Source organism: Homo sapiens, chromosome 9 (genome assembly GCF_000001405.40).
Source record: "Homo sapiens chromosome 9, GRCh38.p14 Primary Assembly".
In the NCBI taxonomy this organism is placed as follows: domain Eukaryota; kingdom Metazoa; phylum Chordata; class Mammalia; order Primates; family Hominidae; genus Homo; species Homo sapiens.
This window is the reverse complement of record NC_000009.12, coordinates 1071779-1085749: the sequence shown is the minus strand read 5'-3', so window position 1 is coordinate 1085749 and position 13971 is coordinate 1071779. Positions and strand designations below refer to the sequence as shown.

Here is a 13971-nt window from a genome sequence, read left to right as displayed (position 1 = left end):
CTTTAGAGTCTAACTGTGCCCTTCTGCTGGCCATCCTACTTTAAGTGGCAGAAAGAGGTGGGAGTGGTGCATGGCAGTCAAGGGGTACTCTGTGGATTCCATTTGCAAAGGGAACAAAGCTAGCATGGCTGTGGGTAAAACCCAGGTTGTCCCTTTTTTTGACAAGAGGGACAAGTGTCTTTATTTGATCCTAAGTCTTAGGAAAAGGAGATAAACCACTACTGATTTCCAGAGGCATTTCGGGATATCAAGAGAAGCATTTGTTTGTTTGTTTGTTTTTCTGAGCATATCTCTGTGGGATGTTAGGCAACTCATAATTCTTTAACCTTTGTTAACTCATTTAACACCACTTAATCTGAGCTGCAAAATAAGCATTTTAAAAGCTTTTTCGGATTACCCGATAATGATTAGGGTTCCAACAGTATTCTCATACATCAGTTAGCAATTTTCCTTAAAGTATTCCAAAATTTTTTGGCTCAGTTCACATATTAAATTGTTTAATAACTTGTGTCATGCATTAAGCACTTCACAATGTTATGCTCATCGACTCTTCAGAAAGACTTAGAAGCTGAAACAGTTCTAAGTGAAAAAGGATCTCTTCCGGTGACATCCTAGCATCCCTGAGTTTCATTTACCAATGGAACAAACCTTCATTGAATGCCAGGCACTGTAGCAGGTGATGATGATGCCCTTGTGGGCCCAGCTCTGGTGGCAGTGGGTTCTGGCAGTGTGGTTTTGAAGAAGGAACGCTGGATTAAGACTGGGCATCCAGGCCGGCTGCAGTTCAGGATCATGCCTGTAATCCCAGCACTTTGGGAGGCTGAGGCGGACAGATCACAAGGTCAGTAGTTCAAGACCAGCCTGACCAATATGGTGAAACCCCGTCTCTACTAAAAATACAAAAATTAGCCAGGCATGGTGGCATGCACCTGTATTCCAGCTACTCAGGAGGCTGAGGCAGGAGAATCGCTTGAACCCGGGAGGTGGAGGTTTCAGTGAGCCAAGATCACGCTACTGCACTCCAGCCTGGGTGACAGAATGAGACTCTGTCTCAAAAAAAAAAAAGGCTGGACATCCAGACATTCCAGGCTACTTTGCCCATCATCTCCTGTTCCCCAAGCCATGCCCATCTCTAAATCAGGATGTCAGACCAGATGGCCTCAAAGGTCCTTTCCAGTGTTTGAATTTGAATTTATTTATTTTTTTTTTATTTAGAGACAGGGTCTCACTCTTTCACCCAGGCTGGAGTGCAGTGGCGTGATCATAGTTCACTGCGGCCTCGAACTACTGGGCGCAAGCAATCCTTTTGACTCAGTCTCCTGAGTAGCGGGGACCACAGGCAACCACCAACACGCTCAGCAATTTTTTTTTTTTTTTGGTCACAGGGGTTAGAGACGAGGGTCTTGCTATGTTGCCCAGGCTGGTCTTGAACACCTGGGTTCAAGCAATCCTCCAGCCTCAGCCGCCCAAACTGGGATTACAGGCGTCAGCCACCATGCCAAGCCTGAATTTGAAATTTTGAATGACACTTTAATAAATACTTTGCCACCTTTCTTGTGTGTAATGAGTTCTATTTTTTAAAGTAGACACCTAGATAGAAACATTGAGCTAAGCATTTTACACACACTCTTTTCTTATTCATACTCCTCATAGTCCTCTGAAGTCGGCACTTAGAGCCCCAGTTTTTAGAGCAGAAACCTCTTAAGTACCTTCCCTAAGGCCACATAACTAGCAAGAGGAGGAATGGAACACAACCCAGGTCTTCTGGGACAGAACTCCAGACCTTACACTGTCTTTGCCTTTTTTAAGTCTCAGCTGGCAGGTCTCGGTGGTACAGCCCTGCACAGTTCAGCCACTTATTTCCCTCTGTGAAATGAACAGCTTCCTCAGGACGATGCCCTTGTACCATTCTCCAGGCAACTGAGCCCGCAGCCTGGAGGCAGCTCTTTCCCAAGGGGGGCGGAATGCAGGATGACTGACAGCAGCCCCGCGCATGCTCCTGGAGTCTCTCCCCACAGAGCGCCCCGAGGCGTTCCCATAATTTACATGCTCCATTTAAAATATAGACGCTGAAGCACCAGAATTACACATCTGCTCCCTTGACTTTTTAACCAAAGGGTGCTAGTTTATTGCTGAGCTTAAGGATAAAAGAACAAGAAATGAAAGTTGGGTTGGATTTTTTTTTAAGTTTCCTTCCCCGCTAAGTACAATCAGATGTTGGATTCTCAGCCCGATGCTGAGTGGATGCTCATTTCGCTTTGCCTCTCAGTTTAACAGCTCTTTTCTGAGATAACACTTTTCCTCACAAAAAAAAAAAAAAAAAAAAAACGAAGGGCCCTTCCCTATACAAATATTTTTAGTTAAATGCATCAAACAGCCCCAATTTTGTGGTGCCAGGAAAAAAAGAAAAAAACAGGAATGATACTGAAACTGATATGACGCTTTGTAGGGAAACAACTGTCCTTTCATCTCTGGATACACAGTTTATCTTTGACCCTGGAGTACTTGCTTGAATTCTTGGCGAAGGGCACCTATTTAGAAATCATCTAAGACCTGAAGAGCTCCATCATGAACCAGACATCAAACGCCTTTTATGTTCTTTCTGGTCCAGGATTAAAACTTCAGATCTATTATATTTTAATGCACAAATAAAGAATCAACCAGGGGAATCTGCAGCCTCGGCAAACACTTTCATCCAAAAGAACAAGTTATTTGTGATATAAAACTCAGCGAGTGTCTCTATTGAGTATCGCAAAGATGGTGAGATGGGATGAGTTTCTTTGAAGAGCAGTAAGGGAAATGAATGAGTCAGTGGCTTAACATGTCTCTTCATTGGAAGCAGAAAATGTCAAAGTGCTCATATTCATCCCTGGCTCTAAGAAATGTGTGTTCTTTTGGGATACATGGCACAAGAAATTTCTCCGCATCTTTCCCACAGCTTTCTTTTTTGGCCAAGAGAATTTTTTTTCCTGGGTCTCAGATTTATATATAGTCTCCAGGTGTATCACACAGTGTTTCTCCACGTTTCTGCACCTAGAGATCAGCACAGAAGCATATCAGATCAGATATGCAGGGTTTTTAAGAAATGCAAAGAGATGCCTGGGCACCCAGAGATAATTAGAACCAGCACACTGTGGTAGGCATCAAATAAGAGTCTATCTGGCTCAAGAATCTTTTTTTTTTTTCTTGATCTCCAGTAACCTTATCTACACCTTGTGCCTGCATCTTACTCACCAAGGTTAAGTGGTCCAAGGATGACACTCTACCCAAGCCTGACCAATCAGAGTTTTTTCCCAAGATGTTTAACCAGACATTTCTTACTTTTGTGCAGCGGGTACGGGGAGAAAGGGGTAACAGCAGTGACCTGTTACTCCTGAAAAATGACTTTAACTTGGCCCAATGGGAAGGTAACAACCCTCCTTTTAAAAAAAATCAGGTAGTTTTGAGATATAATTTACATACAATAAAACTCACTAATTTTAAGTGTACAATTCAATATATAATTTTAATATGATCTTTAAAAAACCATTTTAGTGAGATATTATTGACCTACAAAAGCCTACATATTTAATATGTACAAATTGATAAGTTTGTGGATAAGTGTATATCCATGAAACTATCTATGCCATGAATTTACCCATCACGTCCAAGATTTTCCTCCTGCTTTCTTATTATTATATTTTTGTGATAAAAACACAAGATAAGATTACCCTCTCAGCAACTTTTTATTCTATATTTTAAATATACAATACAGTATTATTGACTATAGGCATTATGCTGTACCATAGATCTCTAGTATTTATTCGTCTTGTATAACTGAAACTTTATACACTTTGACTAATACCTCTCCATTTCCCCCTCCCTCCAGCCCCTGGCAAATGTATACAGTTTTATAGCCCCGATCACAATCATAATATACAATTTCATCACCCCCAAAATGTCTTCGTGTTCCTTTGTAGCCAATCAGCTCCCCCGACCCCACCTTGGCCCCTAGCAACCACTTCTATGTTTTCTGTCATTATAGCTTTACCCACAGGCTGGGTAAGTGTTAGGTAGCATCTAATAGCCTGCCTTATTATTTCAGAAAGACACTATTTTTTTCAGTTTAGCTAATCAAGAAACTCATCCCATCTCACCATCTTTGCGATAGTCAATAGAGACACTCGCTAACCAAGAACCTCTGTTGAACCTGTCTACATCTTTAATCCTAAAGTAGCTAATGATCAAATAAACATGTGATATTGATTCCCAGTATGAAACATGAGGACACCAGCAATTAGGGATAGACCCATTTATTGGGGAATGTATTGATTATACAGCAAAATAATGCCAACACTCTACACTTCCATCAATAGTAGACCATTTAAATAAGCCATAGAACTTGCAAATAAAAGAAAAAGAATGTACTCTATATAGTAATATGAATCTTCTCAAACATGTATTGTTAATGAAAAAACAAGATGTAGGCAGGAGAATCATTTGCTACCATGTTTATGAAAAAGGACGAAGAAGAATGTCTATATGTATTTTATGTATATACTTAAAATTCCTCTGGAAGAATACACTGAATTGGGTGGCCAAGGGAGATGGGTAGGAAGGTGAATTTTCATTGTGTACAATTTCATAGGCTTTGCAGTTTGAACCATGGAAATATACTACACGTTCCAAACAAATTAATAAACAAAACAACATACTGATTACCACAGTGTACTAAGTCTTATCCTAGAACTTGGGTGGAGGATGGTCTGTTTAAATAGCCTATTATTCTACCATCTCTGTTCTCTCAATTTCTCTACCACTTATTTTCTCTAGCATTTATTTTGTTGTTAATCATGTTTTGCCTCAAATCTTATCTCTAGTTGTATAGAAGTGTTTAAGGAATTCTATGGTTAATATTCTATATTTTATGTCTTATCTATAACTTATTGGTTCCTAGAAATAGATACTATTTTATTATTTAAATTTTATCTTTTGATTTGGCTCAAAATTGCATCTATATTTTTAAAAGAAATGTTAGTTTTAAATTTCAGAAATAATATGCTCATATTTTTCAGTAAAATGATATATTACAGTCAATGTTAAAATTCCCATTTACTGCTTTGCTCATTTTCCTCCTGACTGAGATGAGGTAACTATTATCAGGTTAGGAAGTGTCCTTCTAGATCTATTTATGTGCTTTTACATCCATATATATACGTACCCTAGCAAATACATAGCATTATGTGGGTGTAGTTTTTTTCTTTTTATCTGTGTATCTTAATGTATGTCTTGGTCTATATTATTTATACGCAATGATATATTTTCATATTTGCACATATAATGTCAAGGTTGATTTTTTAAAAGTTCACACAGTATCTCATAGTTCAGGTAAACTATATTTTATTTATCTATTTCTTATTTACGGATATGTGAATTCTTTCTCAATTATTTTGCTTATATATTCCATACTATCTAAGCTAATGTCATCTACATGATAGAGTCTCAATATATATTTATTGATTTCCTAATATATCTCTGATATATTAATCTAAAGTACAAAACAAGGAATCAATAATTGTGTTGCATAATGATATATTTTCATTTCAGTATTATTTGTATTTTATGAGGTGTGTGCTATAATAATCTGTTACATACTAATATTTCTTCTGTGGAAACAAGTGGAATTTAGGATGAAAGTAGATTGCATGTTGAATATAAACCTTAATATTAACTGATGGAACAGGTTCTATTTGAATTTATTCTCAATAAATTCTATCACTGCTTTGAAAAACTCCTCGTGGAGTTTCATCAGAACACTTTCAACCAGACTCCTAATTAGGTCTCCCTCATTTTCTCAGACTGTGGTCTGCATGCATCTATGTTAGAATCATCAAAGGTACTTGTTCAAAATGCAGATACCTGGGCCCTGTCCAGACCTACTGAATCAGAATCTCAGGGAGCAATATCCTAAAAACTATTATAAACACAAACACCAGGTGATTTTTATATAACTCAAAGTCTAAATATTTCTAATCTAAGGATTCCAGGGGGGCTAACAGGTGGAATGGAGGATTACATTTTCCAACTTCACCTGCTTTTCTACTGATTTTTGGCTGTGAATTGTGGTTCTTGACTTATTTAAATCCATATGAACATGGATGGAAAACCACCCCTCTTTTCTATTCCAGCCCAAGCACTACTTATACAGGCTGATGTATATTCCTTTTAAAGACCTGGGAATAATTATGGGGTGGAGGATTAAGCATAGTATATAGAACAAGAAGCAACTTAACTCTAAGCATTCCACATCTTGCATTGATTTGCTTTATCCAATGGTTGTAGATTAGATCACTGTTTATTAGATAGTCACTTCCTCCTCCTTCCCCATTCTCACCTCCATTGGAGGACTGTCCGCAACCCACAACTTTGGACTTGGCTGTGAATTGCTTGGTAAGATGTTATTAAAATATGCAAGTATCTCCTAATATCATCAAGTGAAAAATCAGTTTGGAAAACAGGAAACTTAGGTTTAACTCTAACTCTATTCTTAATCAGCTTTGTGACCTTGAGGGTGTGGTTTGAACCATGTGACATATCTAAGGTTCTTTCCAGTTCTGACATTGTATTAGCCCATATGTAATGCATATTCTTGCATATTCTTCCATAGGGAAGAATTTTTCATTGGACTAGGAATGGCATCATCATTGTAACATGAGGACTAACCTGGATGTAGTATGCAGTACAACACAGGGAGTCTTTGTGTTGCTACCAGGTTATCCTAGCTCTTGAATTCTTTCATAAAGAGTCCAAGTCTCCTCTTCATCTTGAGAAAAGTTTGCTTCCTGAGCTGCAATACTGATGTAACTCTTTCCTCAGCTCAGGAGAAGACTCAAGATCAATATTTGGGACCTCTTTTCTCATGTTGATGGCATCATCTCCACCTCCCAGGTGTTCTGGCTCTCAGGCTCCTTCCCTCACCCTCCTGCAGTGTTCTGCCTCAGTACGTTCCTTCGCTGCAATCTATGGCATAACTGACTCAGAGGCCTATCAGAATCAGCTGGGGGTCTTTTTAGAAACATGGTGTCCCAGGTCTCTGTTCCATTGCATCAGGATCTTCAGGGATATACGTTTTCAAGAGTTTCTTAAGCAATTGTGAGGACTGCCAAGGTTTAAGGACTGACTTTACTCCCAGAGCAAGAATCCCAGCCCAGCATGCACCCATGGCAACTCACTTTGATTGGCCTGTCCATTCTCCTTTTGTATAGAGTCAAAGTCAGAAAGATCTTACTAAAACTGAGGTTCCTTGGAACTTCTGCCCATTCCTGTAAATTCTACTCTGTGGCACTATAGAGAGAAAGGGTAATTCTGCTTCCAGAGAAAGTCTTCAGATAATGAGAAGATTGTTGTTACGTTCTTGCTCTCTTGCAACAAGACTTCCAGGTCCTTGCCATAGATGTACTTTTTCTCTGCATATGCTCAGTTGGCCAGCGTTCCCCTTTAATGTATTGTGTCCAGTACAAAATGCTGCCTTAAAAATACAGAATGTGGTACAGTCTATAGGGATACTTACTTTGTACCAAAACTGGAAGTAGAAGTTCAGAAATTAGGGAAAAAAGAAAAGTTGAGGATGAATTTGACCTTCCCAATGCTTTTCCGAATTATACAGACCTGGCTGGGTGACTCCGCCTGTGCCAAGATATGCCCTAAGATAACTATTCCCCTTCTTGGGGATGTGCACAGCTCTTGTCTGTGCTCATTACAACAAATGAAAAGAAGCACTGAAGCAACTTTATAGAGGTTTTTCACGCTGCCTTCAGACTACCTAGAGGGAAACTAGGTGAATGTGTTTCCCTGACTTGTGAATGTTCTCTGTAATTCACAAGTCAAAAGAGACAGGAACCCTGCCAAGATGTACCCTTTTCTAAACAGATGCAGGAGGAAAACCACAAGATCACTGGGCTGTGAAAGGCAAAGGAGAAGAGATTCCCTCAACCTCAACCACAAAAAGGCTCTCCTTCTGCCCTGGGCTGGGCCATGGTGGCATCTGATGGCCTAAGGCCGCTTCATGCTTGTTCTCATTCCCAAACACTCTCCTGGAGAAAGGCCATCAACCAGTGTCAGACTTGTAAAGTTGTCTGACAATGTCTCCAGTTCAAGAGGTAAGATATGAGTGCCTCCACCACAACTAGCCCTCCCTATAAATATAGATGAGAAACACAATGATGTTTTCCCCAGATCAGAACTGTCACACAGTGAAGACGGTTCAAGTGACTTTGTCCTCCAAGGCCAGATAAGGGAATGCTTTCCTGGAGAAAGTAGGAAGGTTTCACAAGAAGCTGAGAATTCACAATGAAACTGGGTGGTATGTTCCATAGTTTAAAAGGAGGAAGTGGGATGCCGGCTAAATTGGCTGGCAAATTTGGTCCTTATGGAAGTAAAGCCAGTTAGCAGTGTTACATTGGAAACACCTTCATGACTGGGCCTGCATCACAAAGCTCTATGTTCTAACCACATTTGCAGGCACCTTTGACCCATAGCCCCTAATGACCAATCTTCCAGCTACCCATACCCCTCCCAACACAACACAATATGCCTTTCCATCAAGACAGACAACAGTGTCACTTGTTTTATTGGAAATATTTTACTTGACACCTGCCCATTTTTCAGCACTTCTCATCCTTTTTCCCCACTTTCCCAATCTTGTTCCCTCCTAGAGGAAGAGAAGAAGTAAAATACAGTATATAAGGGCACGGGTTTTGGAGTCAGGGAGAACAAGAAACCCTGGGCAAATTATTTAACTACTCAAGCCTCATTCTCCTCATTTGTATCTCACCCTTGTTATGACTCCTAAATGAAATATAGCACATTATAAGCACTAAATAAATATTAGCTAACTCACTGGCCCAATATGTTCACACATTTGTGCATGTGCACACACCTTTACTCATACACAGCATAGTAACATGGAAAGCTCATTGAAATGAAAATCAAGCAATAAGAAACCTTGAGTAATGCATATGCCCTCTATGGGCCACACTGTTCCCATCTTCACAATAAAAGCTTGAACTAGGTCATTTCTAAGAACCCGTCCAAGAGGAAGAGTCCAACAATCTGAGTTAGCATTAAAGCCGCTCTATATGAACTGGTATGGAATGCTCTCTAAAACAAGGCTCTAAACGAAAAAAAGCAAGATACAGAATGGTGCACATAGTATGCACCCATTCATGCCGAAAGAAAAGACTAAATACTTTTACACGTTTGTAGATTATTTCTGGAGGCATATAGAAGGGATTGGCAACAGTGATGCCTCTGCAGAAGGAATTTGAAGGACAGGAAGAGGGAGACTTACTCTGTACTATACACACTTTGTAGTCTTATACCATGTACATTCTTCAGGTATTTTTTTTAAAAAAAATTTAAAGTCTAGAAAAAAGGCCCACACTGTCCGGGTGCAGTGGCTCACATCTGTAATCCCAGCACTTTGGGAGGCTGAGGCAGGCGGATCACAAGGTCAGGAGTTCAAGACCAGCCTGACCAACATGGTGAAACCCCGTCTCTACCAAAATTACAAAAATTAGCTGGGCATGGTGGTGCATACCTGTAATCCCAGCTACTCAGGAGACTGAGGCAGGAGAATCGCTTGAATCTGGGAGGCGGAGTTTATAGTGAGCCAAGATCATGCCACTGCACTCTAGCCTGGGCGACAGAGCAAGGCTCTGTCTCAAAAAAAAAAAAAAAGCTCACACCACATTACAAGTGGATACAAAATAGCTAATTTTTATCATAGTGTATTTCTACCTATATGTAGCTTTTATAATAATTTTATATATATTAGGGTATTAGGCCAGGTGCAGTGGCTCACGCCTATAATCCCAGCAATTTGGGAGAGACCAGGGTGGGTGGATCACTAGAGGCCAAAAGTTTGAGACCAGCCTGGCCAACCTGGTGAAACCCCGTCTCTACAAAAAATACAAAAATTAGCTGGGCATGGTGGCACGCGTCTATAATCCCAGCTACTCGAGAGGCTGAGGTGGGAGGATGGCTTAAGCCTGTGGGAGGCAGAGGTTACAATGAGTCGAGATTGTGCCACTGCACTCCAGCCTGGGCGACAGACCCAGACTTTGTCTCAAAAAATAATAAAAAAGATAATAATTTTATATTATAATATTTAAAAGTTAAATGACGCAGGCTGCTGTTCTATGGAATCTTGAGGCTAACCTTTCCACTGTAATAATTAGTCCTTAAAACCACTCAATTCTTACAGGCTATGAAACTACTGGCTCTCAGTGGGAAGGAAATGCCTTTTAGGGAAAGCCATGGGTCAAAGGCAGAGAGAGAAACTTAATTATGGGTCACGTATTTTATATATATTGTCTCATTCAATCCTTAAAACAATTCACTGTGCTGTTAATTTCTCCATTGTACCCATCAAAAAAGGAAGCTCAAAGAGGTGAAATAAGCTCAAAGAGCTGAATTTTAAACCCAGGCTGAACTTAATTCCAAACTCACATGTATTCTGGTTTGCTACAATGTCTCCTGGAGGTAATCTAAGAGAACAGGTTCACATTAATAATTAATCAAGAATTAAGAATAGTGTTCAGGTCCGGGTGTGGTGGCTCACCCCTGTTAACCTCAGCACTTTGGGAGGCCAAGACGGGTGGATCACGAGGTCAGGAGGTAGAGACCATCCTGGCTAACATGGTGAAACCCTGTCTCTACTAAAAATATGAAAAATTAGCCAGGTGTGGTGGCGGGCACCTGTAGTCCCAGCTACTCGGGAGGCTGAGGCAGGAGAATGGCATGAACCTGGGAAGCGGAGTTTGCAGTGAGCTGAGATCGCACCACTGCACTCCAGCCTGGGTGACAGAGACTTCATCTCAAAAAAAAAAAAAAAAAAAAAAAAAAAAAAAAAGAATAGTGTTCAGGCCAGCAAGGTAGCTCACGCCTGTAATCCCAGCACTTTGGGAGGCCAAGACGGGTGGATCACGAGGTCAGGAGGTAGAGACCATCCTGGCTAACATGGTGAAACCCCGTCTCTACTAAAAATATGAAAAATTAGCCGGGTGTGGTGGCGGGCACCTGTAGTCCCAGCTACTCGGGAGGCTGAGGCAGGAGAATGGCATGAACCTGGGAAGCGGAGTTTGCAGTGAGCCGAGATCGCACCACTGCACTCCAGCCTGGGTGACAGAGACTTCATCTCAAAAAAAAAAAAAAGAATAGTGTTCAGGCCAGCGAGGTAGCTCACGCCTGTAATCCCAGCACTTTGGGAGGCCAAGACGGGTGGATCACTTGAGACCAGAAGTTCAAGACCAGCCTGGCCAACATGGCAAAACCCCATCTCTACAAAAAATACAAAAATTGGCTGGGGGAGGTTGCAGTGAGCCGAGATTGCACCACTGCACTCTAGCCTGGGCAACGGAGCAAGATTCTGTTTCAAAAAAAAAAAAAAGAATTAACAAAAGTGTTTATTTAAGTAAGTGGGGGAAAAAGAGAAAACGGCATGTGAAAGGTAGACAAGAGCTGATTCTTAGTTACTAGGAGCCACGCCTGTTTCCTTTGTAGGCTTTTTATCATCAGGGTAAGCTTCCTAAAACACACCCTCTGGTTCAACCCTCAGATGTCCCCCTGGACAATTTTTCTTTATTGTATGCAAAGTGACTTTTTAAAAAGTCTCTTCCAATAGATTAACGCTACAGGTGGATCATAAGCTGAATAGATTGGCCAGAGCAACCACAACTCAGTTCTGCTGCGTCTTCCTGCCACGTGAGAAGTATGTGTCCCATTAGGATTCAAAGTCAGGCCTTTCAACAGCCAAGTCTTTAATGCCCATTCACCTACTTCTCTTGTTTTACAAATAGAAAAAAATCTCTAAGCAAAAGGGCAGAGGGAGGAAGTACTGGGTGGGAACTCAGATCTCTCACCTCTCCCATCCTGTGCCCTTCATCCTATACCAAGACACTGCTGTAAAAATGGGCCATTTTTCATCTCTGAGAGACAGTGTAGGACAGTGATGAGGAGTATGATCTCTGAAATCCCAATTACCTAGGATTCTTCTCTACTCAGTCACTTCCCAGATGTATGATAGTGGGCAAGTTGCTTCACGTCTCTAAGACCATGTCCTTATATGTAAAACAAGGATAACAAGCATACCTACTTCACAAGTTAAATTGTATGTGGAGTAAATGAAATAAGGCATACAAAGTTGAGACCAAAAAAATGAAGAGCACAATAAATATTAAGTATTATTCTTAATAATCTCTGACTTAATGATTGAAAATGGATATTTTGCAAAAATCTTAAACATATGGATGTTTCTTCTTCAGTAGTCTCTGAACTCTTAGAATGCAAGGACCATGTCTTATTCATCTTTGAAACTAGTTTGGGAGAGGAATTTATTATATTCCAAGAGCCTGATACATCCAGGCTTCCAGTGAGAGGTTGCATATGGGAGCTTGCCATGGCTTATAACACATGACTCCCCACAAAGACCAACTGTAGGTACCTTACCTGTAAGGCAAAACAAAAGAAGCAGCAGGAATTAACTGGACTCATCAGATCCCACTCTTAGATTTGCGTGAAGGACTTACAGTACAAGGGGACAGTAGGTGGTAGAGACAGAAGCCAAAAGGTACACAGAAAAGAGTAAAGAGAAGCTATAAGGGGAAGGAAAATACGGAAGAGTCATCAGGAACCATAGGAAAAGCAAACGCATTCAGCAGATTGTCCATCAGAGTGGAGGAGTCCATCTTTATCAGAAGGAATTACATTCAGCTGTTTGTAACTGAGACCTAGTGATGATGGTGTGAAAGGAAAATACATCTCAGGACCCCAAAAATCACTAAGCCAAAGGGAAAAGTCAAGCTGGGAATTGTGTCATGTAAACCTGCCTCCCATTTTGTTCCTAAATAAGATAGCTATAATTTAAAAAATAATAGTTATAAAGCTACATACTTCCCTCACAATTTTCCCACTGGGAAATTCCTTGTGGACCCCAAGATGTTTATCCTAAAACAATTCTGTAGAATTTCCCCCTGACAATGTAAATTGATAGCTTATCTTCACAGGTACGGGACAAAGGACAGAACTCGAAGTCATCCCTCTGCTCACCTAAGACAAATGCACATCTGATTGTTTCCCTGCCCTTTGTTTATTTTACCGTATGTAAAAATGTAGATTCATTCAGCTAGATGAATGCATAAGTAACTATTCCCCTGCCCCCACTCACAGGTGAATGGCTGATTAAAGACTCAAAATAATGCAGACACGTGCCTCTTATCTACCCACAACTTTTTAAACTTTCTTCTTCTTTCCCAAATATCCACCCTTTCCCCTTTAAATATTGAAGACCTCAAAATCATCTTTGGAGAAAGCCACAGACCTGTCTCCTGGGCACGTCTTTAACCTTGGAAAAATTAACTTCTAAACTGATTGAGACCTGTGTCAGATACTTTCTGGTTTACAATGGCTTATGCACATAAAGAGTTCTTATTTCCTATAAAACACGAATGAGCCGAGGAAAGTGATCCAGGGCTGGTATGGCAGATCCTCAAAGTCAGCCAGCATCCAGCTCCTTTGATTTCTCTGCTCCAACCTTCTTTGAACATGGCTGCCAACCTCAAGGTTATAACAGGCTAAAAGAGGTCCAAATTCCAAGAAGAAAGAAGGTGAAAGAAGAAAAAAAAAAAACTCTTCCCTGTAGTTTCAGTTCCCTTTAGAGAGATCTTCTGAAGTCTCACCCGTGGCTGGCCACCTGCATCTCTACAGCCACACCTAGATGCAAACTAGGCTGGGAAATGCAGTCTTTTACCTGGGCACTTCGCCAGTCCAAATAAAACCAGGGCTCTGTTACTAAAGAAGGGAAGAATGGATATTGAAGAGGCAACTAGCAGTTTCTGGTATTTTCCCTTGGTCAAACTGCCAAGGGAACAATAAGGAAATAAGACTGCCAGATCTGGGTGAAGCTACCTTTTAGTGCTTAGACCATGTCGTAGT

At 40.7% G+C, this 13971-nt stretch overlaps 1 annotated feature.

The window, feature by feature from the left end:
- Positions 1457 to 1957: an enhancer, noted in NCBI's record as "H3K4me1 hESC enhancer chr9:1083793-1084293 (GRCh37/hg19 assembly coordinates)". NCBI's record gives its function as "activates a minimal SCP1, AML or CMV promoter by ChIP-STARR-seq in primed H9 embryonic stem cells {active_cell/tissue: H9 hESC(primed)}" and the evidence as "EXISTENCE:reporter gene assay evidence [ECO:0000049][PMID:30033119]".